The sequence below is a fragment of the Homo sapiens genome, chromosome 11 (genome assembly GCF_000001405.40).
Source record: "Homo sapiens chromosome 11, GRCh38.p14 Primary Assembly".
In the NCBI taxonomy this organism is placed as follows: domain Eukaryota; kingdom Metazoa; phylum Chordata; class Mammalia; order Primates; family Hominidae; genus Homo; species Homo sapiens.
In genome coordinates, this window is record NC_000011.10 from 66939342 (window position 1) to 66960587 (window position 21246).

Below are 21246 nucleotides of genomic sequence, written 5' to 3' on the forward strand. Positions count from 1 at the left end.
TATCAAGCACTTGAGCATCTTGGAGGATTCTGGCATCCATAGGGGGGTCTTGGAACCAGTCCCCAGGGGATAGCAAGAAACAACTGTGCTATGAAATACTGTATCTCACAGTGCTCCTTTACCACCTTAAAGGGGAACACAGCCACAGGTGAGGACAGACTGTACTTAAAACTCCTGCAGAGGCTGGACACAGTGGTTCACGCCTGTAATCCTAATACTTTGGGAGGCCAAGGCGGGTGGATCACCTGAGGTCAGGAGTTTGAGACCAGCCTGACCAATACGGAGAAACCCCGTCTCTACTAAAAATACAAAATTAGCCAGGTGTGGTGGCGCATGCCTGTAATCCCAGCTACTCGGAAGGCTGAGGCAGGAGAATCACTTGAACCCGGGAGGCAGAGGTTGCAGCAAGCCGAGATCGTGCCATTGCACTCCAGCCTGGGCAACAAGAGCAAAACTCCGTCTCAAAAAAAAAAAAAAAAAAAAAACCAAAAACAAGAAAAAACAAAAAAAAAACAACTCCTGCAGAGACACATGAGAAAGAATGAAATTGGACCCTTACCTGACACCATATCCATGACCTAAACATAAGACCTAAAATGACAAAACTCTTGGAAAAAACATAGGGGAAAAGCTTTATATTAGATTTAACAATGATTTCTTGGATACAACACCAAAGGCAGGCACAGGCAACAAAAAGCAAAGATAGACAAGTTGGACTTCAAGAAAATGTAAAAATTTTGTGCATCAAAAGACATTATCATGGGGTAAAAAGGCAATCCACAGTATGGAAGAAAATATTTACAAATCATGTATCTGATAAGGGATTAATATCGAGAATACATAGAAAGTTCCCAAAACTTTTTTTTTTTTTTTTTGAGACAGGGTCTCACTCTGTTGTCCAGGCTGGAATGCAGTCGTACAATCTCGACTCACTGCAGCCTCGACTTCTCATGCTCAAGTGATCCTCCCACTTCAGTCTCCCTGGTAGTTGGGACCACACCCGGCCCCTCTGCCCATTTTGAATCAGGTGGTTTTTTGTGTGTGTGTGTTGAATTTTGGGAGTTTGCCAGGTGCAGTGGCTCATGTCTGTAATCCCAGCACTTTGGGAGGCTGAAGCAGGCAGATCACTTGAGCTCAGGAGTTCAAGACCAGCCTGGGCATCATGGTGAAACGCTGTCTCCACAAAAAATACAAAAACTACAGCTACAAAATACAAAATACAAAAAAATACAGCTACAAGGGAGGCTGAGGTGGGAGGATCACTGCAGCCCAGGAGGTCGAGGCTGCAGTGAGCCAAGACTGTGCCACTGTACTCCAGCCTGGGCAACAGAACAAGACCCTGTCTCAAAATAAATAAATAAATAAATAATAAAAATTTAAAAAGGCAAAGGACTTGAACAGACATTTCCCCAAAGAAGATAGAAGATATACAAATGGCCAATAAGCACATCACAAGATGCTCAAGGCCAGGCACAGTGGCTCACGCCTGTAATCCCAGTACTTTGGGAGGCTGAGGCAGGTGGTCACTTGAGGTCAGGAGATCGAGACCAGCCTGGCTAACACGTCTCTACTAAAAATACAAAAATTAGCCAGGCATGGTGGTGCATGTTTACAATCCAAGCTACTTGGGAGGCTGAGGCAAGAGGATAGCTTGAACCCAGGAGGCAGAGGTTGCAGTGAGCTGACATGGTGCCACTGCACTCCAGCCTGGGCAACAGAGCAAGCAAGACTCCATCTAAAAAAAAAAAAAAAAAAAAAAGGTGCTCAACATCACTAATCATTAAGGAAATGCAAATCCAAACTACAATGAGATATCACCTCATACCCATTGGGATGGCTACTATCAAAACAACAAAGTGTTGGTGAGGATGTGGAAAAACTGGAACCCTCATGCACTGTTAATGGAAATGTAAAATGCTGTAGCTGATGTGGAAAATAGCATAGCAGGCTCTTGAGAAATTAAAAATAGAATTGCCATTGACCCAGCAATCAGGTATATATCCAAAAGAACTGAAAGCAAAGTCTCAAAGAGATATTTGTACACCCATATTCATGGAAGCATTATTCATAATAGCTCAAACATGGAACCAAGCCAAGTGTCCACAGATATATGAATGGATAAGTAAAATCCATACAACGGAATATCATTCAGCCTTTTCTTTTTTTTTGAGGCAGAGTCTTGCTCTGTCGCCCAGGCTGGAGTGCAGTGGCGCCATCTCGGCTCACTGCAAGCTCCGCCTCCCGGGTTCACACCATTCTGCTGCCTCAACCTTCCGAGTAGCTGAGACTACAGGTGCCCGCCACCATGCCCAGCTAATTTTTTGTATTTTTTAGTAGAGACGGGGTTTCACCGTGTTAGCCAGGATGGTATCGATCTCCTGACCTCGTGATCTGCCTGCCTCGGCCTCCCAAAGTGCTGGGATTACAGGTGTGAGCCATCATGCCTGGCCCCCATCATTCAGCCTTAAAAAGAAATTCCGGCCAGGCGCAGTGGCTCACGCCTGTAATCACAACACTTTGGGAGGCTGAGGCGGGCAGATCACCTGAACTCAGGAGTTTGAGATCAGCCTGACCAACATGGGGAAACCCCGTCTCTAATAAAAATATAAAATTAGCCGGGTGTGGTGGCACATGCCTGTAATCCCAACTACTCGGGAGGCTGAGGCAGGAGAGTCGCTTGAACTCGGGAGGCAGAGGTTGTAGTGAGCCGAGATCGCACCATTGCACTCCAGCCTGGGCAACAAGAGTGAAACTCCATCTCAAAAAAAAAAAAAATGCTGGGCGCGGTGGCTCATGCCTGTAATCCCAGCACTTTGGGAGGCCGAGGTGGACGGATCACGAAGTCAGGAGATCGAGACCATCCTGGCTAACACGGTGAAACCCCGTCTCTACTAAATATACAAAAAAAATTAGCTGGGCATGGTGGCAGGCGCCTGTAGTCCCAGCTCCTCGGGAGGCTGAGGCAGGAGAATGGTGTGAACCCGGGAGGTGGAGCTTGCAGTGAGCCGAGATCGCACCACTGCACTCCAGCCTGGGCGACAGAGCGAGACTCCATCTCAAAAAAAAAAAAAAAGAAATTCTGACACATGCTACAACATGGATGAACCTTGAGGACATTATGCTATGTGAAATATGCCAGTCACAAAAAGACAAATACCGTATGATTCCATTTATATGAGGTGCCTAGAGCAGTCCAATTCAGAGACAGAAAGTAGAATGGTGGGTGCCAGGGGCTTGGGTGAGTGGAGAATGAGGAGTCAGGATTTAAGGGTTACAGAGCTTCAGTTTTACAAGATGAAAAAAAGTCTGCAGATAGTGGTGATGGTTGCTCAATATAAATATACTTAATACCACTGAACTGTACGCTGGAAAATGGTTAAGAAAGTTTCGGCTGGGTGCGATGGCTCACACCTGTAATCCCAGCACTTTGGGAGGCCGAGGCGGGCGGATCACCTGAAGTCGGGAGTTTGAGATCATCCTGACCAACATGGAGAAAACCCGTCTCTACTAAAAAGAAATACAAAATTAGCTGGGTCTGGTGGCGGGCGTCTGTAGTCCCAGCTACTCGGGAGGCTGAGGCAGGAGAATTGCTTGAACCCGGGAGGCGGAGGTTGCGGTGAGCCAAGATCATGCCATCACACTCCAGCCTGGGCAACGAGAGCGAAACTCCATCTCAAAAAAAAAAAAAGTAAGTTTAATATCAGGTGTACATAATACATGTGTTATATGGACATCCCCTCAAAATTCACATGTTCAACCTAACTCCCAATGCAATCGTATTAAGAGGTGGGGCCTTGAGGAGGTTGTCATGAGGGTCCTGTTCTATGAGTAGGATTAGCATCCTAATAAAAGAGGTCGAGCTGGCCATGGTGGCTGGCGCCTATAATCCCAGCTAGTCAGGAGGCTGAGGTGGGAAGATGTTGAGCCCAGGAGTCGGAGGAAAAAAAAAAAAGGGGTCACGGTCAAAAGGAGCTGCCTTGTCCCTTCCACCCTGTGAGGACGCAGCCTGAAGACAGCATGATTTGTGAGGAACAAGCCCTCACCAGATACCGAATCTGCTGCTGCCTTGATCTTGGACTTCTCAGCTTCCAAAACCGTTAAGAAATAAACTTCTCGGCCGGGTGCGGTGGCTCACGCCTGTAATCCCAACACTTTGGGAGGCCGAGGCCCGGATCATGAGGATCATGAGGTCAGGAGATTGAGACCATCCTGGCTAACACGATGGAACCCTGTCTCTACTAAAAATGCAAAAAAAAAAAATTTGCCGGGCGTGGTGGCAGGCGCCTGTAGTCCCCCAGCTACTTGGGAGGCTGAGGCAGGAGAATGGCATGAACCCGGGAAGCAGCGGAGCTTGTGGTGAGCAGAGATCGCGCCACTGCTCTCCAGCCTGGGCTATAGAGCAAGACTCCGGCTCAAAAAAAAAAAAAAAAAAAAAAAAAAAAAAGAAATTTCTCAACATGGTGAAACCCCGTTTCTACTAAAAAATGCAAAAATTAGCCGGGCGTCGTGGCAGGCGCGTGTATTCCCAGCTAATAGAGAGGCTGAGGCAGAGAATCTCTTGAACCCAGGAGACAGAGGTTGCAGTGAGCCACTGCCCTCCAGCCTGAGTGATAATAGCGAAACTGTCTCAAAAAAAAAAAAAAAAGAAAAGAACAAAAGGCCGGGCACAGTGGCTCACGCCTGTAATCCCAGCACTTTGGGAGCCCGAGGCGGGCGGAACACAAGGTCAGGAGATCGAGACCATCCTGGCTAACACGGTGAAACTCCGTCTCCAATAAAAATACAAAAAATTAGCCGGGTGTGATGGTGGGCGCCTGTAGTCCCAGCTACTTGGGAGGCTGAGGCAAGAGAATGGCATGAACTCAGGAGGAGAAGCTTGCAGTGAGCCGAGATTGCACCACTGCACTCCAGCCTGGGTGACAGAGCAAGACTCCGTCTCAGAAAAAACAACTTCAGGCCGGCCGCAATGGCTCACACCTGTAATCCCAGCACTTTGGGAGGCCAAGGCAGGCGGATCACTTGAGGTCAGGAGTTCGAGACCAGCCTGCCCAACATGGTGAAACCCCATCTCTACTAAGAGTACAAAAATTAGTTGGGCATGGTGGCACACACCTATAATCCCAGCTACTCAGGAGTCTGAGGCAGGAGAATCGCTTGAACCTGGGAGGCAGGGGTTGCAGTGAGCCGAGATTGCACCACTGCATCCATCCTGGGTGACACAGCAAGACTGTCTCAAAAAATAAATAAATAAAAATAATAAATAAATAAATTTCTATTGTTTATAAATTACCTAGAATAAGGTTATTTTGTTATAGCAGCCCAAAGGGATGAAGACAATGTATTTTGCCACAATTTTTTAAAATGGGGGACGAAAAACTCTTGCAGCGCAAAAACCTAAGTCAGCCTCCTGCCAATTTCTCCCCCAAATGTCCTTTTCTTGTCACTCTACAAACCTCTGCTCTTACTCACATTGGGCCACATGTGCATCAGACATCAACGGAGAGGTCAAACTGCATTAATAATTCTCAACCAGGTCCACTCACCACCTACAAGCTTCCTGGGGCCATACCCAGTGACCAGGACAGGAATGCAATTCTGCATCTAGTTATCATCCAAGACGCAGATTTCTAACAAGAATTTGATGGCAATGGGCTCTCCAAAGATTGGTAGCTCTCCACCGGGAGGTTAGGGAGAGGCCAAAATTCTCACCATTTCCAGGGGCGTGAACTGAAGAACATGAAAAAGGTGGCACTGGTTCCAGATGCTATAATTTATTGGTAACCAGGCGTGATCAGAAAGTAAGAACTCTTAAGTACCACCCTCTTTCTCTTTATTTGAAAAGGTTTAAGAGATGGAAGGAAATGCCAGACATGGACTCAGAAGACTGGGACTCAAATTCTAGCCCTGGTGGGTCAGACATGATTTTACTAGTCCTTGGTCAGAGAAAGCCTTGGGAGATACAGAGAATCTAAAGAATCTAAACTGTATCTATTTTGTATTTAGTTCCACCTATTTTTGTGGCCATACTGCATAACAAAAAGGAAGCCTTAAATAGATTAACTGAATTCAAATGGTTTGGGGGGGCGGGTCGGAACTGCAGAGTTACATGAGATGAGAAGAGGAAGACATTAGTAATGTGATACTTCTATTTGAGGCACATGGGCTGTGAGACCATCCCCATTTGGAGGCAAAATGGTGGCAGTGGAGCAGGCTCTGCTTAGCAGTTAGATTCAAAGTCCAGTTTCATCCCTGCCAGGGGTCTCTTTAATTATAAAGAAAATGTCATCCAGTTGAGAAAGAAAGGCCAAAAGTTAATTAGAAAAATAATTTACTATACTTTAAAATCATGTATTTAATTCCTTATTAGGTAAGCTTCTCTAATTCCAGGAAAATATTAGATTAAATATAGACAAGGCTAGGAAAATAAAAACCATAGTATTTATATTTTTGTGTTAAGAAATCTGGCCGGGCGCGGTGGCTCACGCCTGTAATCCCAGCACTTTGGGAGGCCGAGGCGGGTGGATCATGAGGTCAGGAGATCGAGACCATCCTGGCTAACAAGGTGAAACCCCGTCTCTACTAAAAATACAAAAAATTAGCAGGGCGCGGTGGCGGGCGCCTGTAGTCCCAGCTACTCGGGAGGCTGAGGCAGGAGAATGGCGTGAACCCGGGAAGCGAAGCTTGCAGTGAGCCAAGATTGCGCCACTGCAGTCCGCAGTCCGGCCTGGGCGACAGAGCGAGACTCCGTCTCAAAAAAAAAAAAAAAAAAAAAAGAAATCTGTGTGTTGTCTGTTACTTTATGTACTCTAAGAGAATATGGTCTGTTTAGAATAACAAATCAGTCTTGAGATTCCAATTAAAACATGTAACTGAGGCCAGGCGTGGTGACTCACATCTGTAACCACATGATTTTGGGAGGCTGAGGCAGGTGGATCGCATGATAGCAGTTTGAGACCAGCCCTGGCAACACAGTGAAATCCCACCTCTACAAAGAAAATTTTTTAAAAGGCCAGGTGCAGTGGCTCATGCCTGTAATCCCAGCACTTTGGGAGACCAAGGCGGGCAGATCACAAGGTCGGGAGTTCGAGATCAGCCTGGCCAATATGGTGAAACCCCGTCTCTACTAAAAATACAAAAATTAGCTGGGCCACGCCTGTAATCCCAGCTACTCGGGAGGCTGAGGCAGAAGAATTGCTTGAACCCAGCAGGCGGAGGTTGCAAGTAGGCCAAGATCATGAAACCGCATTCCAGCCTGGGCAACAGAGTGAGACTCCATCTCAAAAAAAAAATTTTTTTTAAATCAGCCAGGCATGACGTGCATGCCATGGTCCCAGCTACTCAAGAGGCTGAGATGGGAGGATCGCTTGAGCATGGGAGGTCGAGGCTGCAGTGAGCCACGATCGCATCAGTGCAAGCCAGCCTGGGGCACAGAGCAAGACCCTGTCTCAAAACAAAAAACATGTAACTGAGTAGTTAGTTTAGACGTGTGATTTTACATAGAAATTTTACTAAGTTTAAAATCAGTACTGGCAGATGACAAACACATGACAAGATGCTCAACATCATTATCATTAGGAAAATTCAAATTGAAACCATGAGATACCACCATATACCTTTTTAAATGGCTAAAATTTAAAAGACTAACCATAGCCAGTGTTGGGGAGGATGAAGAGAAACTGGAACTCTCATACACAGCTGGTAGGAATGTAAAATACTACAACCACGTCAGAAAATTTGGCAGTTCAAGTTAAACATACATACAGCTACCACAGGATCCAGCCACTCCACTCCTAGGCATTTACCCAAGAGAAAAGGAAATATATGTTCACACAAAGACTTATACACAAATGTTCACAGTAGCTTTATTTGTAGATGCCAAAAAGTAGAAGCACCTGAGATGACCAACAAAGGTGACTGGATAAACTGTAATACCCATATAATGAAATCAGCAAAAAAAAAAAGCTGGGTGCGGTGGCTCATGCCTGTAATTCCAGCACTTTGGGAGGCCGAGGCGGGAGGATCACAAGGTCAGGAGATCAAGACCATTCTGGCTAACACAGTGAAACCCCGTCTCTACTAAAAATACAAAAACAAAATTAGCTGGGTGTGGTGGTGGGTGCCTGTAGTCCCAGCTACTCGGGAGGTTGAGGCGGAGCTTGCAGTGAGCCGAGATCGTGCCACTGCACTCCAGCCTGTGCGACAGAGCAAGACTCAGTCTCAAAAAAAAAAAAAGAACTGACCAGGAACAGTGGCTCATGCCTGTAACCCCAGCACTTTGGGAGGCCAAGGTGGAAAGTGGGAAGGACTGCTTGAGTTCAGGAGTTCAAGACAAGCCTAAGGGCCAGGTGCGGTAGCTCACGCAGGTAATCCCAACACTTTTCGAGGCTGAGGTGGGGTGGATCATTTGAGGTCAGGAGTCGAGACCAGCCTGGCCAACATGGTGAAACCCCCTCTCTACTAAAAATACAAAAATTAGCTGGGCGTGGTGGTGGGCGCCTCTAGTCCCAGCTACTTGGGAGGCTAAGGCAGAAGAATCGCTTGAACCCGGGAGGCAGAGGTTGCAGTGAGCCGAGATCATGCCACTGCACTCCAGCCTGGGCGACAGAGTGAGATTCCGTCTCAAAAAAAAAAAAAAAGCCTAAGCAACATACCGAGATCTCATCTCTACTAAAGATAGATAGATAGATAGATAGATAGATAGATAGATAGATAGATAGATAGATATGCCAGGCGTAGTGGCACACACCTGTAGTTCCAGCTACTCAGTGAGATGGGAGATCACTTGAGCCCAGAAGATCAAGGCTGCAGTGAGCTATGATCACGCCGCTATATTCCAGCTTGGGTGACAGAGCAAGACTCTGTCTTAAAAAAAAAAAAAAGAAGGAAATGAACTATCAATACAAGCAACAACATGGACATATCTCAACATAATTATGCTGAGTAAAAGAAGGCAGAGAAAAAAGAATATATACTGTATGAGTCAATTTATGTGAAATTCCAGAAAATGGAAACTAACCTATAGTAACAGAAAGCAGTTCCATGGTTTCCTGAAGAGTGAGGAGGCAGAGGGAGGAATTCCAAAGGTGATGAATGTGTTCACTCTCTGGACTGCAGTGATGGTTTCACAAGGGTACACATATGTTAAAACTTACTAAACTGTATACTTTAAATATGTGCAACTTATTATATCTCAGTAATACTCCAATAAAGCTATTGTAAAAACTAAAATGTATCACGCCTGTAATCCCAGCACTTTGGGAGGCCAAGGCGGGCTGATTGCTTGAGCTCAGGAGTTCGAGATGAGCCTGGGCAATGTGGTGAAACCCCGTCTCCACAAAAAGTACAAAAATTAGCCGGGTGTGGTGGCTTGAACCTGTAGTCCCAGCTACTCAGGAGTCTGAAAAGGGAAGATCACCTGAGCCTAGGAGGTAGAGGTTGCAGTGAGCTGAGACTGTGCCACTGTACTCCAGCCTGAGTGACAGAATCAGACCGTCTCAAAATAAACAAAAATAAACAAACAAAACATAAAACGGTATAGGAAAGTTTAAGAAAAGTGTAATATTCAGCTTCATTTATTAGATTTACAAGAGTCATTTAGGTATTAGAGGGTTTTTTTAATCAGAAAAATGGAAGAATTATTATTATTATTTATTATTATTATTATTTTTTTGAGATGGAGTCTTGCTGTGTCGCCAGGCTGGAGTGCAGTGGCATAATCTCAGCTCACTGCAACCTCCGCCTCCCGGGTTCAAGCGATTCTCCTGCCTCAGCCTCCCAAGTAGCTGGGATTACAGGCGCGTGACCACCACACCCAGCTAATTTTTGTATTTTTAGTAGCGACAGGGTTTCACCATGTTGGCCAGGATGGTCTCAATCTCTTGACCTCGTGATCTGCCCGCCTTGGCCTCCCAAAGTGCTAGGATTACAGGCGTGAGCCACCCACCATGCCCGGCCAGAAGAATTATTAAAATAGTTAACTGAAGTTGAATATGATTTATAAGTTCAATTGAAACATTTCAGAAGTTTCATCAAATTTGCAAATGGGACCAAGCATTAATCAAAAAGCCCCCTAAGGCCGGGGCGGCGGCTCACGCCTGTAATCCCAGCACTTTGGGAGGCCGAGGCGGGCAGATCACTTGAGTCAGGAGTTCGAGACCAGCCTGACCAACATGAAGAAACCCCGCCTCTACTAAAAATACAAATTAGCCAGCATGGTGGCGGGCGCCTGTAATCCCAGCTACTCAGGAGGCTGAGGCAGAAGAATCGCTTGAACCAGGAGGCGGAGGTTGCAGTGAGCCGAGATCGCGACAGAGCGAGACTCCATCGCAAAAAAAATAAATAAATAAAAGCCCCCTGAAAGTGACTGTTAAAATGTCCTAGAATCGTAAATAGATCAGAAAGATTTATAGGCTACACTTATAAGCTAAACTTAAAAGACTGGCCCTTAAAATAACTAGGTTTCTGAATTCATAATTTTAACAAATTGAAAATCAATTGTTTTCGACCAAAGTAATTTCTGAATAATCTTTGCATTACATAAAAATCCAGGGGTAGGAGTGGGTGTGGCATCCAAACCTCCCTCAGACATGCCACGCACCAGTCACCCGAAACTCACCAAGTCGCTTAGTCTCTAGTCTCTCTGAACCTCTGGTTCCTCACACATTGCAAGAGACAAATATTTTCCAGAATAAATAATATACTTATTATTAATGATTTAATATTAATACATTTCACATTGATACACAGCATGTACATGAGAAGAGGCTCCAAAGCAGCATAAAGTGATGTGCAAACGTAATAAATGGGCAGCATGTGTCACTTCATAGTAACTGCAGCACTCAGTGACAGACAAGAGAAAGGTGACACACATCCCCAGAGACTAAGTATGACTCAGCATGGCCAGGTCGTGGAATTTTCCCAAAGCCTCGTTGTGATGTCATGGTGGATGTCATCAGGAAAGGAGCTGCCACAGAAGCAGTCAGGCCCTTCCACACACAGGCAGTGGAAATGTACTCCCAGCTGTCCCGTGCCCTCCCGGCCCCACCTCTTTCTCTGGCCTCGAGGCATATCAGGACAAGGAGGTAACACAAGAGTAGGAAACCCGAGGTAGTGCTGGGAGTACCTGGGGTAACGCCTTCAGGCATAACACTTAACAACACAACAAAGGGCCACATCCATGTCCCCCCAGGAGAAAGCTGAAGAGGAGGGGAGGGTGACAAGCTTAGACTACAGAGCCTTAGTCCCTAGGCAAAGCTCAAGTCAGCAGTGCCTTGGGAACTGAGGAGCCAAACAAGCTTTGACAAATTACATAACCTGGAAGAAGAGGTCCCTTCTTGGTGACTGATTTTCCCTCTCTATTGATGGATCTAAGGGAAGACATCAATAAAATATGGCAATTTTAAAAGAAGAATAAACAATGGGATCAGCATCTTGGATTCTGCTAAGCAGCCTTCTCTAGGCTTCAGTTTCTTCAGTTCCATAAGACAAGTGGTTTGGGGGGAACCTTCCCCAACATGCCCACCTCTCATTGTAGGGATGCAAGTAAGAGAAATAACATCCAACTCTAGCAGCCAAGAATAAGAGGACAGAGCAAGCAGAGAGAGAACAAGGGGGTGAAACTCGTGGAGGGTGGAGTTCTTCCACGTTACGGCCATTCCCACCATGAGCCCATTGCCCTTACTCAATGGTAGCACGCAGACGGCACCTGCTGGCCCAAGACCTAGCTCCAAGGGAGGACTGCGGGAAATCTCACACAGGAAACCAGCTCCTGCGTCATGAAGGGTCGTCAGAGGAAAACCCCCACATAATGGGTGGAAAACCGAGAAAAACTCCTATACCAAGGAATCCCCACTCAGCACTGGATATGAGCTCTGGAGAAAGTTGTCCCTGAGCCACAAAGTCCCCAAGGCCACAGCGGGCCTGAAGGGAAGAGCATTATTGTTGTCACAAATGCTGGGAGAGCACCTGGTTCCCTGGCTCGGCTGCTCCTGCAGACCAGCAGGGGGAGAGGGGACTGGACTAGCAGGGGACCGGCGGGAGGGCTGTGGAATTTAGGCTGAGGGGAGGCCACTGAATCTCCCAGGCACCTGCCACCATGGAAATCCATGTTGGGGGAACTGTAAAAGCAGTAGAGGCCGGACGCGCTGGCTCACACCTGTAATCCCAGCATCTGGGGAGGCCGAAGAGGGCGGATCACCTGAGGTCAGGAGTTCGAGACCAGCCTGACCAACATGGTAAAATCCCATCTCTACTAAAAATACAAAAATTAGGCCGGGCACAGTGGTTCATGCCTGTAATCCCAGCACTTTGAGGGGCTGAGGTGGGTGGATCACAAGATCAAGAGATTGAGACCATCCTGGCCAACATGGTAAAACCCCGTCTCTACTAAAAATACAAAAATTAGCTGGGCATGGCAGCACACACCTGTAGTCCCAGCTACTCGGGAGGCTGAGGCAGGAGAATTGCTTGAACCCAGGAGGCAGAGGTTGCAGTAAGCCGAGCTTGCGCCACTGCACTCCAGCCTGGCAACAGAGCAAGACTCCGTCTCAAAAAAAAAAAAGAAAAAAAAAAACTTAGCCAGGTGTGGTGGCACATGCCTGTAAAATGTGCAGGGGAAGAAGGGCAGGTCCCTTTTTCCCCGTTGTTACCGTGACTGGCAAAGGTTGAGCGTCACCCTCTGGAAACCCGTGTCAAGTGACTTTACAACCAGCTGGCAGAACCACCTCACACCACAGCTGCCTGCTCTCCATGCTGACTCAAGGGGTCTTCTCAGAGACGGCCCAGCCCCAGGGATTCTTCCTGCCCAGCTTCCCAAGCTGACCATACCCTTCCAGAACCAGGGCCTTCTGCTGAGGCTGGCCAGCTGCCAAATGGGGCCAGCAGGGAGCCAGATGTCACTTTCCTGTAAAAATCAGGAGCAACTGGAAACAGACAAGACTGCTTAAACGGATATTATCCACAAATCAGAGCGCAGCCTTTTTTTATTGATTGAGCTTAAGACCTGACATGCCAAACTGCTGGCATCCACAGCTGCTCCTGGTGAAGACCCCCATGCATCCCGCCAGCCTGGATTCAGGCACAGGACTTACCCTTAGTGTTTGGTCAGCTCTCCAGAAGGCAGACACTATCTAAAGCAAAAGAAAAAACAGCATTACCCTCATTGCTCCAGGAACTTCCCAGAGAAAACAGGAGTGGCAAGAACACCGATTTTAGAACCCAGAGAACTTTTTCAGTCTTGTTACCCGGGCTGGAGTGCAATGGCGCAATCCCGGCTCACTGCAACCTCTGCTTCCCGGATTCAAGCGATTCTCCTGCCTCAGCCTCCTGAGGTAGTTGGGATTACAGGCATGTGCCACCACGCCCAGCTAATTTGGTATTTTTAGTAGAGATGGGGGTTTCTCCATGTTGGTCAGGCTGGTCTCGAACTCCCGACCTCAGGTGATCCACCCACCTCGGCCTCCCAAAGTGCTGGGATTACAGGTGTGAGCCACCGCACCCGGCCAAGAACTGTTTCTTTGCTTCCACTGAGGGCACCAGGAGGGTACAGAGCTGGAAGCGCCAGCTGTGCTGTCCCACTGCCTGGACTGCACCTCTTGTTACTCTGACAGCCGCTCTGTAATCACTCAAAGTCTGTTTCCTCATCTGTAAAATGGGAATAATAACAATGCCCATCTCACAGCGTACTAGGGAATACCCAATGAGGCAGCACACGCACAGCAGTGGCACCATGCCTGGCACAGAGGACACACTGGGACGTTAACCGACAGGCTAGGTGGGAAGCGCTTAAGTAAAACCCTTTTCTGCCACCCACTACACATGAACAAGAAGTTCTAGAAACAGTTCGTTTTATCTGAAGTGCTTTCTCTTCCTGCCCACTCCGTCCAGCCTCAGGCCCGCTTTCTCTGCATCTCCGCAGAGCTGTCTCTAATCCTTCAGGAGCTCCCTCTGAATACTGGGAGTCTGGTTCTTCTCTCACTCCACAACTTGAAACTAATAAGGAGCTGTCTTACGTGACCTGAGATGTGTACTCTATTTCCTGGCTATTTCCTCAAATCCTTTCCTGCAGAGACCCCTCTCTGCCATAAGTAAGAGCCCACCTCGTGTTTATGCCCATGGGAGCCCACAGTTGGTATTGTGTAATCACTTTTCGGAGTTTTATTGACTGCTTATTTCCGAAAAAGCCACACCTACCCTAGCCACTAGTCAATGAACAGCAAAATGGAAAAACAGGCCAGCAAGCTCAAATCCCTGTTCAGAGAAAACCAGCTGCCTTGACAGATAACGTCAAGGCTGAAATTCAATGTCTGGGGCACTCAAGTCAATAAAATATTTATTGAGCACATGCCTTGCACAAGGAACTGTATGTACACTCAGGCCCTGCCCACAAAGTGCCAAAAAGCAAGTTGTTAGGGGCTGGTTAAAAGAAGCAAAAATGGGATGGCACGTGAGAGGGACTCCAGCAGTGAGCCACCTAGCCTGCCTGGCTGTGTTACTCTGGGCGTTATTTCACCTCTCTGAGTTTCACCTATGAGAGTCCGTCATTTGTAAGAGATGGATCTAATAGGACCTTCGTAATAGGATTGTTGTGATAATCACATTATGTGTATGTAAGGGGCTTAGCAAGGCCGTCACCACCACACAGTAGTTGACTTTTATTATTAATAACAATAAATCATTACTTATCATCATCGTTATGAAAAGAGAGCCCAGTCCAACTGAATAGATTTGGCAAGCCTTAATAAAGTCCTGTGTCTCGAAGAATAATTTAATTTTGACAGGACAAGATAAGAAGCAAGGCCCTGCAGAAAACAAAGTCAACAAGAACAAGAGCAGAGGGGGGACCGTGAGAAGTGAGTTTGGGGTAACAGTGACTAATCTCACTATGGGGGCTGACACAGAAGAGGGTACCTGCGGAGGCAAATGGAAGAAAGAGCCCAACAGGTGGAATCATATTAGAGAGTCTTGAACGCCAAGATGAAGCAAGCTTTTCATTCGGTAAGTAAGAGGAAATGGTTTATTCTTTTGGCCATTTCCCATCTTCCACCGTCAGGCCCGACTCCTTTGGCAAAGTGTCCACAGGTGAGACTAGAAGGCAGCTAAGAGAAAGAGAGGAAGGCACGGTCAGTCAGGCCCAGGTGAGGTTTCAGAGTGAGCAGGCAAAATGCCCTGCTGCTGTGAAGGAGGCCTCTGGGTGAGAAACCTGCCCCAAAGCAGGAACTTTCAGGATACAAGAAACGGGGCCCATTCAGATGGGGGCAGGACGATATTGGGAGGCAGCCAAAGAGAAGGCCATGCTCATCCTCAATGAAAATGTTGACCAGAGGCCGGGTGCAGTGGCTCACGCCTGTAATCCCAGCACTTTGGGAGGCCAAGGCAGGTGATCACCTGAAGTCAGGAGTTCGAGACCAGCCTGCCCAACATAGTGAAACCCCATCTCTACTAAAGATACAAAAATTAGCCAGGCAAAGGGTTGGTGCCTGTAATCCCAGCTACTCAGGAGGCTGAGGCAGGAGAATCACTTGAATCCGGGAGGCAGAGGCTGCAGTGAGCCAAGATGGTGCCACTGTACTGCAGCCTGGGCAACAAAACAAGACTCCGTCTCCAAAAAAAAAAAAACACAGAAAACGTTGACCTGAACGAGGCCTCCAGCCCATGCAGAAGGTGCCAGTGAGAAATGTGGATTGCCAGATTTACTGCCATACTGACCTTGGTGCTGGCCATCCCTGCCACCTCCAAAAGTAACTCCTTTCCGTATTCCCCATCTTGCACCCTTCTCTCCTCACTGGTTCCCAGTTTGACCCCTTTTCAACTAATTCACCCAAAACACTCATTAGGCACCTACTTGTTCCTGGCACTATTAGGTACTGAGAGGACAGAGGGAAGAGGGACACAGGGAACTGTGGCTTGGGATAAGAGTAGTGAATCTGAGGTCCTGCCCTGCCACTGGTCCCAGAGCCCCCATGAGTGGTGGTGGGAGGACAGGTACCTATCACAGTGCCTGGGGCACTGGAAGTGAGACCGGGTGAAAGCAAGGAGCAGGACAAAAAAGGGAAAAGGGCCTGGGGGACCTACTGTGGGCTACCAGGGACAACCTTCTAGGGGAGATCTTGGAGGTGAGGACTGGCACAGGGAACCGAGTCAGCCAGGCTGCAGCGGGCTTCAGTAGAAAGACAGAAGGCGTTATGACACATGAGGGTACATTGGGGTAAACTGAGGAAACTTTGGATGACAGCCTAATTAATTCAAAAAGCAGATACTGAGCAACTGTAGTGAACAAAGCCCCTTCCCTAAGAGCAGGGCACAGCAGGGTGAAGGAGCCATTAGTAAACAAATGACGGCTGCTTTCAGGGAGCTTACCAGAACACCATGGGACACAATCTGCAGCTCAGGCCTGCAGCTGGGCCCTCAGAGCCCTGTCTGCCTTTTGGGCTTTTTTTTTTCTTTTTTTTTGACAGGGAGTTTCATGCTGTCGCCCAGGCTGGAGTGCAGGGGCGTGATCTCAGCTTACTGCAACCTTCAACTCCCAGGTTCAAGCAATTCTCCTGCCTCAGCCTCCTGAGTAGCTGGGATTACAGGTGCCCGCCACCAGGCCTGGCTAGTTTTTGTATTTTTAGCAGAGAAGGGGTTTCACCATGTTGGCCAGGCTGGTCTCGAACTCCTGACCTCAGGTGATCCACCCGCCTCGGCCTCCCAAAGTGCTGGGATTACAGGCATGAGCACCGCGCCCAGCCCCGTCTACCTTTGCATCTAATCTTGCTTCCTCAGTTTGGTTTCCAGTCACTGACTTACCTGCACCTTAGCAAATCCTAGTGCCCTCACCTGGTTACATCTCCTGTAGAGGCCTCTTCCCAGTGACCAATCAAGTTTCTTACACCCAACAGTGAAGCTGTTTCCCCCACATTCTCCTTCCACCTTCCTCAGCCTTCCTCTTCCAGTTCTAATTGCTTGAAACCTCTGTAACTGGCCAGGCATGATGGCTCATGCCTATAATCCCAGCACTTTGGGAGGTCGAGGTGGGCGGATCACCTGAGGTCAGGAGTTCAAGACCAGCCTGGCCAACATGGTGAAACCCCATCTCTACTAAAAATACAAAAAATAGCCAGGTGTGGTGGCATGCGCCTGTAATCCCAGCTACTCAGGATGCTGAGGCAGGAGAATCGCTTGAACTCGGGAGGCGGAGGTTGTGGTGAGCTGAGATCACACCGCTGCACTCCAGCCTGGGCGACAAGAGCGAAACTCCATCTCAAAAAACAAAAACAAAAAAACCTCTTTAACAAAACCTCTCCAGAATAAAACTTTCTAGCTGCTGAAATCCAATCACTGTTTCTCCACTGCAGCGGCATCAAAAAGAGGTCCACAACTCACCTCCTCCACGAAGCCTTCCCAAGCCCATCCCCTTCCAGGCCATTTCTCCTCTCTCTCGCTTTAGTGTGTGGTTTGCTGTGATTTACTGGCCTCTACTGAACTTCCTCTTCCATGTCCTCCTAGGGCCAATACCTCACCCACTAGGCTCTCTACAAACATCTGCAGCAGGCTGCCTTGCTGCTTAGGTTTTGTTTATTTTCTCTCTCCCCCAATGGGTTTGTCAGCAGTTGCAGGACAAGGATTGACCTCATCGCCCACGCTGTCTCTCGGCCCAGTGTAGGGATAGGAACACTGTAGGTGTGCAAAAGAATGTGATTAAGAGTTCAACAGTTAAGGAGAGCCTGCAGGCAGGAAGCTGTAGCTGCAAGTGAGAGAAATGCTGAGCACATCCACCCCCAGCACAAGTGTTTGCATCACATACAGGGAAAGGGTGCCTTGGGGGAGGCCAGCCAGGGCTGATGGTGGCAGTGGGTACGGGAGCAATAGGGAGGCAGATGGCAGGCACTCTGGAGGTTCTGGTTGTCATCAGCAAGTGTTGGTACTTCTCTGAGCCTGTTTTCTCAGCTGGAGAACGGGTAAGGAGCCCAGGCCTACCTCTTCTCACAAAATAAAGACACAATCTGATTTTTTAGAATTTCAGACGAGGCACGCCTGTAATCTCAGCACTTTGGGAAGCCAGGGCAGGCCGCTCGCTTGAGCGTAGGAGTTCGAGACCAGCCTGGGCAACATGACGGAACCTCGTCTCTACCAAAAAATACAAAAATTAGCTAGGCGTGGTGGCGCCCGCCTGTAGTCCCAGCACTGGGGGACTGTGGCAGGAGGGTCGCTTGAGCCCGGGAGGTCGAGACTGCAGTGAGCCGAGATCGCGCCACTGCACTCCAGCCTGGGTGGGTGACAGCAAGACCCTGTCTAAAAAAGAAAAGAAAACAAAAGAATCTCAAAGTTGCCAGGGACCTAGGGACTTGGCTTCCGACTCTGATGCGCTTTGTAAACTACTAAAAGCTGGAGAAATAAGGGGCTGAGCCCAGCCCCACCTCCTGAATGAGCGGCCTTGGGCGAATCACTGCGTCTGGGCGCCTGGAGCTTCCCCGTCTGAAACAAAGTAGAGGATCCTACGGGAGGCGGAGTGCGAGAGCAAGGAACAAGGAAAGCCCTCGCCTTACACGCCGCGGCTTCCTGCAGAGCTGAGCCACATCCAGTACGATGGGGACAACTTGGGCTCCCGATCCTGACAGACTTGGGTTCGAACCCTCAGGGACCTCGCGCGAGGCGCTTTAGTCAGTTTCTCCATCTGCAAAATGGGCCCGAGAGCAAGAATGAGGCAGCCCGCAGGCGGACGCTGCGGAGGGGCGCTCGGGGGCTGCAGCCGGGGGCGGGTCCGGGGGCGGGTCCAGCCGGCCGAGCCCCCGCGCGAGGGGGAGGGGCGCCGTCCGCTGCGTCGCGTCGCGCACCGCGCACAGCCCGTCGCTGTCTCCTCCAGCCGTCACTCGCGGAGCCCGCGCCGCCTTTGCGCGCGCGACCCTTACATAAGCGTCCCTCGCAGCGGTGCCGGCGCACGTCCACCCGCTCCGACCCGCCGCGGGAAGAGGACCGTGCGGAGCGCGGCGGACACTCACCTCCTCGCCGTCGCCAGTCCTCGCCGCCGCCTCTACCGCTGCTGCCTCCACTGACAGAGAACAGCTGCGGTCTCCGTGCAACCGAACTTGCTGCAGTCCCGGCCCCGCCTTACGGACTTCCTATTGGCCCAGACAGCCCAACCCCTCCCGTTATTGGGCAGTGTTCTCCGTCACTCCTCGCCCCTAGGCTCTGGACTCCTCCCTGTGCCCGCCTGTCCGTCACGTTTAAGCCTTGGCGCCCCACGTCAGCCCCGCCCCTCCCGTCCCCGGCGAGCGCCTGGATAAGTGGCGAGGCTGGGAGAGCCCGCCCCTGGCGCACCACCGCCTACTCCCTTGTCTCCGGAGCCTCACGTGGGCCGCCGGACCCTAGCCGACGCCCGCAATAGGCGGAAGTGGCCGGGCTGTGGCTCGCAGTTATTGGCTGTCGGCGGGGGTGGGGACGTTCGATTCATTCACCCGAGTAGCACGTGTCTCCCGAAGCTGCAAGCACAACAGTTCGCACTGGGGCTCAGGCATCCCGGCTAGACGCAGATACGCGCTGGCTAGCGGAGAAGAGGTCGCAGGAAAAGCTAACGTTAGCGAAGGGCAGGAGGAAGGAGAAGGCGCTTGTGCCACACGGGTTACATGACTATGTCCTTTAACAGCTGCGTAGATGATGATGGGGGTCTACAGTACGTCTGTGTGACCTTGGGCAAGCAACTTAACCTCTGAGTCTCGGTTTTGTCATCTGCAGAGCGAAGCTACTCAGGACCTAGGGGGTTTGGAAGCCTTGTTTGAGACACAAGACACTTGACAAGACCCAAGACACTTGTCAAAGAGGAAAGCTTTGACAAGTGGAACAAGTGACTGAGGCATAAGTCTCTGTCATCGAGGCTTATTAATCCAGTTTGAGGGCGTGCTCGGGAAAAACACGAACCACAGACACATCCGTGGTTGTTTTTCCGAAGAGGTTTTCGGGAGGTTTAGTATTTATGCATTTCCTTAAAGGGGGAATGAGGGGAAGGCATGTAGGAAGAAGGGCAAGTAGGCGATTAGGACAATAGTTACATTCCTATGGGACTTTAGCTAATGCCCGGTAAATCTACGTAAGATGAGATGAATGTCTGAAGAGAAAAAGAGAGTAAAGGAAGAGTCAGTTATGCAGATGTCTCTGAGTAGGTAGTTTTGACTTTGTTCTGCACCTGGGAAAATAAGCTTGTAATGACATTCTTATTGTGGAATTTTTAGGAGCTAGACTTAGATTGTAGACCTGAAGCTACAATTGACCTGTCCTTGTTTATGGGAGGCCAGCAAGAATTTACTTGTGAATGATCTGTGGGGGCAGCCCTTCCCAAATGCCTGAGGTTTTTACCTTTCCGTGTGGATATGGCTGATGCCTAATGCTAGTAACAGCTATTCTTTTGGAAGAGGGTGTTGCAGTGACTCAGCTTCAAGGCTTAATCTTCACTTTCGCATGAATTGGGGCGCTGGGGGGGGGTCCCGAGATTTTTACTTTCATTCACCGCTGCGTAAACTGGGGTCTGTGCCAACCAGGGGATAAGGGAGTGACCAAACAAACCAAAATCCTGCCTTCAAAGGAGAGCAGACAGATTAATATATATATATATATATATATTTTTTTTTTTTTTTTTTTGAGACGGAGTCTCGCTCTGTCGCCCAGGCCGGACTGCGGACTGCAGTGGCGCAATCTCGGCTCACTGCAAGCTCCGCTTCCCGGGTTCACGCCATTCTCCTGCCTCAGCCTCCTGAGTAGCTGGGACTACAGGCGCCCGCCACCGCGCCCGGCTAATTTTTTGTATTTTTAGTAGAGACGGGGTTTCACCTTGTTAGCCAGGATGGTCTCGATCTCCTGACCTCATGATCCACCCGCCTCGGCCTCCCAAAGTGCTGGGATTATAGGCGTGAGCCACCGCGCCCGGCCCAGATTAATACATAGTACATCAGATGGTGATAAGGGCAAAGAGAAAAAATAACCTGCTTCCAAAAAGGAGAATCAAAGACTATGAGAACATCTTGCTAACTAGAAATTGTTTATTGAGCCTGGAGAGATCTGACTCTTCTCTCAGACTTCTTGTATAAGTAGTTTCTCACTCCAACTTCCCTGTCATTCCTTCTACCCGTCCTGAAGAACTCCAACCTTGGGTTGGATCCGACACAGCTATTTTAGTAACAGAACAAGGATTAAGATCCCAGTTCACCTTTGGGAGGCTGAGTAGGGAGGAATACTTGAGCCCAGGAATTTGAGACCAGCATTGGCAACACACTA

At 49.0% G+C, this 21246-nt stretch overlaps 1 protein-coding gene across 7 annotated transcripts in view, besides 4 other annotated features; it reads right to left on the reverse strand.

Annotated features, from left to right (window-relative positions):
• PC (pyruvate carboxylase) overlaps positions 1-19042 on the reverse strand; it is a 109964-nt gene extending 90922 nt beyond the window's left edge. The window contains exons 1-4 of one of the 7 annotated variants that reach the window (XM_017017869.2): positions 18981-19042; positions 18528-18655; positions 14908-15095; positions 13089-13127 (exon numbers count right to left, since the gene is read on the reverse strand). The gene's annotated coding sequence lies outside the window, so the exon portion shown is untranslated. Of the gene's footprint in view, positions 1-13088; positions 13128-14907; positions 15096-18398; positions 18656-18980 lie in introns of all 7 variants that reach the window. The other 6 variants (NM_001439355.1, NM_001040716.2, NM_001439352.1 and 3 more) reach the window with 6 other exon arrangements.
• Positions 17457-17836: an enhancer, noted in NCBI's record as "active region_5061". NCBI's record gives its function as "activates an Ori minimal core promoter by ATAC-STARR-seq in GM12878 lymphoblastoid cells {active_cell/tissue: GM12878}" and the evidence as "EXISTENCE:reporter gene assay evidence [ECO:0000049][PMID:35858748]".
• Positions 18700-18799: a silencer, noted in NCBI's record as "silent region_3607". NCBI's record gives its function as "represses an Ori minimal core promoter by ATAC-STARR-seq in GM12878 lymphoblastoid cells {active_cell/tissue: GM12878}" and the evidence as "EXISTENCE:reporter gene assay evidence [ECO:0000049][PMID:35858748]".
• Positions 19000-19049: an enhancer, noted in NCBI's record as "active region_5062". NCBI's record gives its function as "activates an Ori minimal core promoter by ATAC-STARR-seq in GM12878 lymphoblastoid cells {active_cell/tissue: GM12878}" and the evidence as "EXISTENCE:reporter gene assay evidence [ECO:0000049][PMID:35858748]".
• Positions 19120-19479: a silencer, noted in NCBI's record as "silent region_3608". NCBI's record gives its function as "represses an Ori minimal core promoter by ATAC-STARR-seq in GM12878 lymphoblastoid cells {active_cell/tissue: GM12878}" and the evidence as "EXISTENCE:reporter gene assay evidence [ECO:0000049][PMID:35858748]".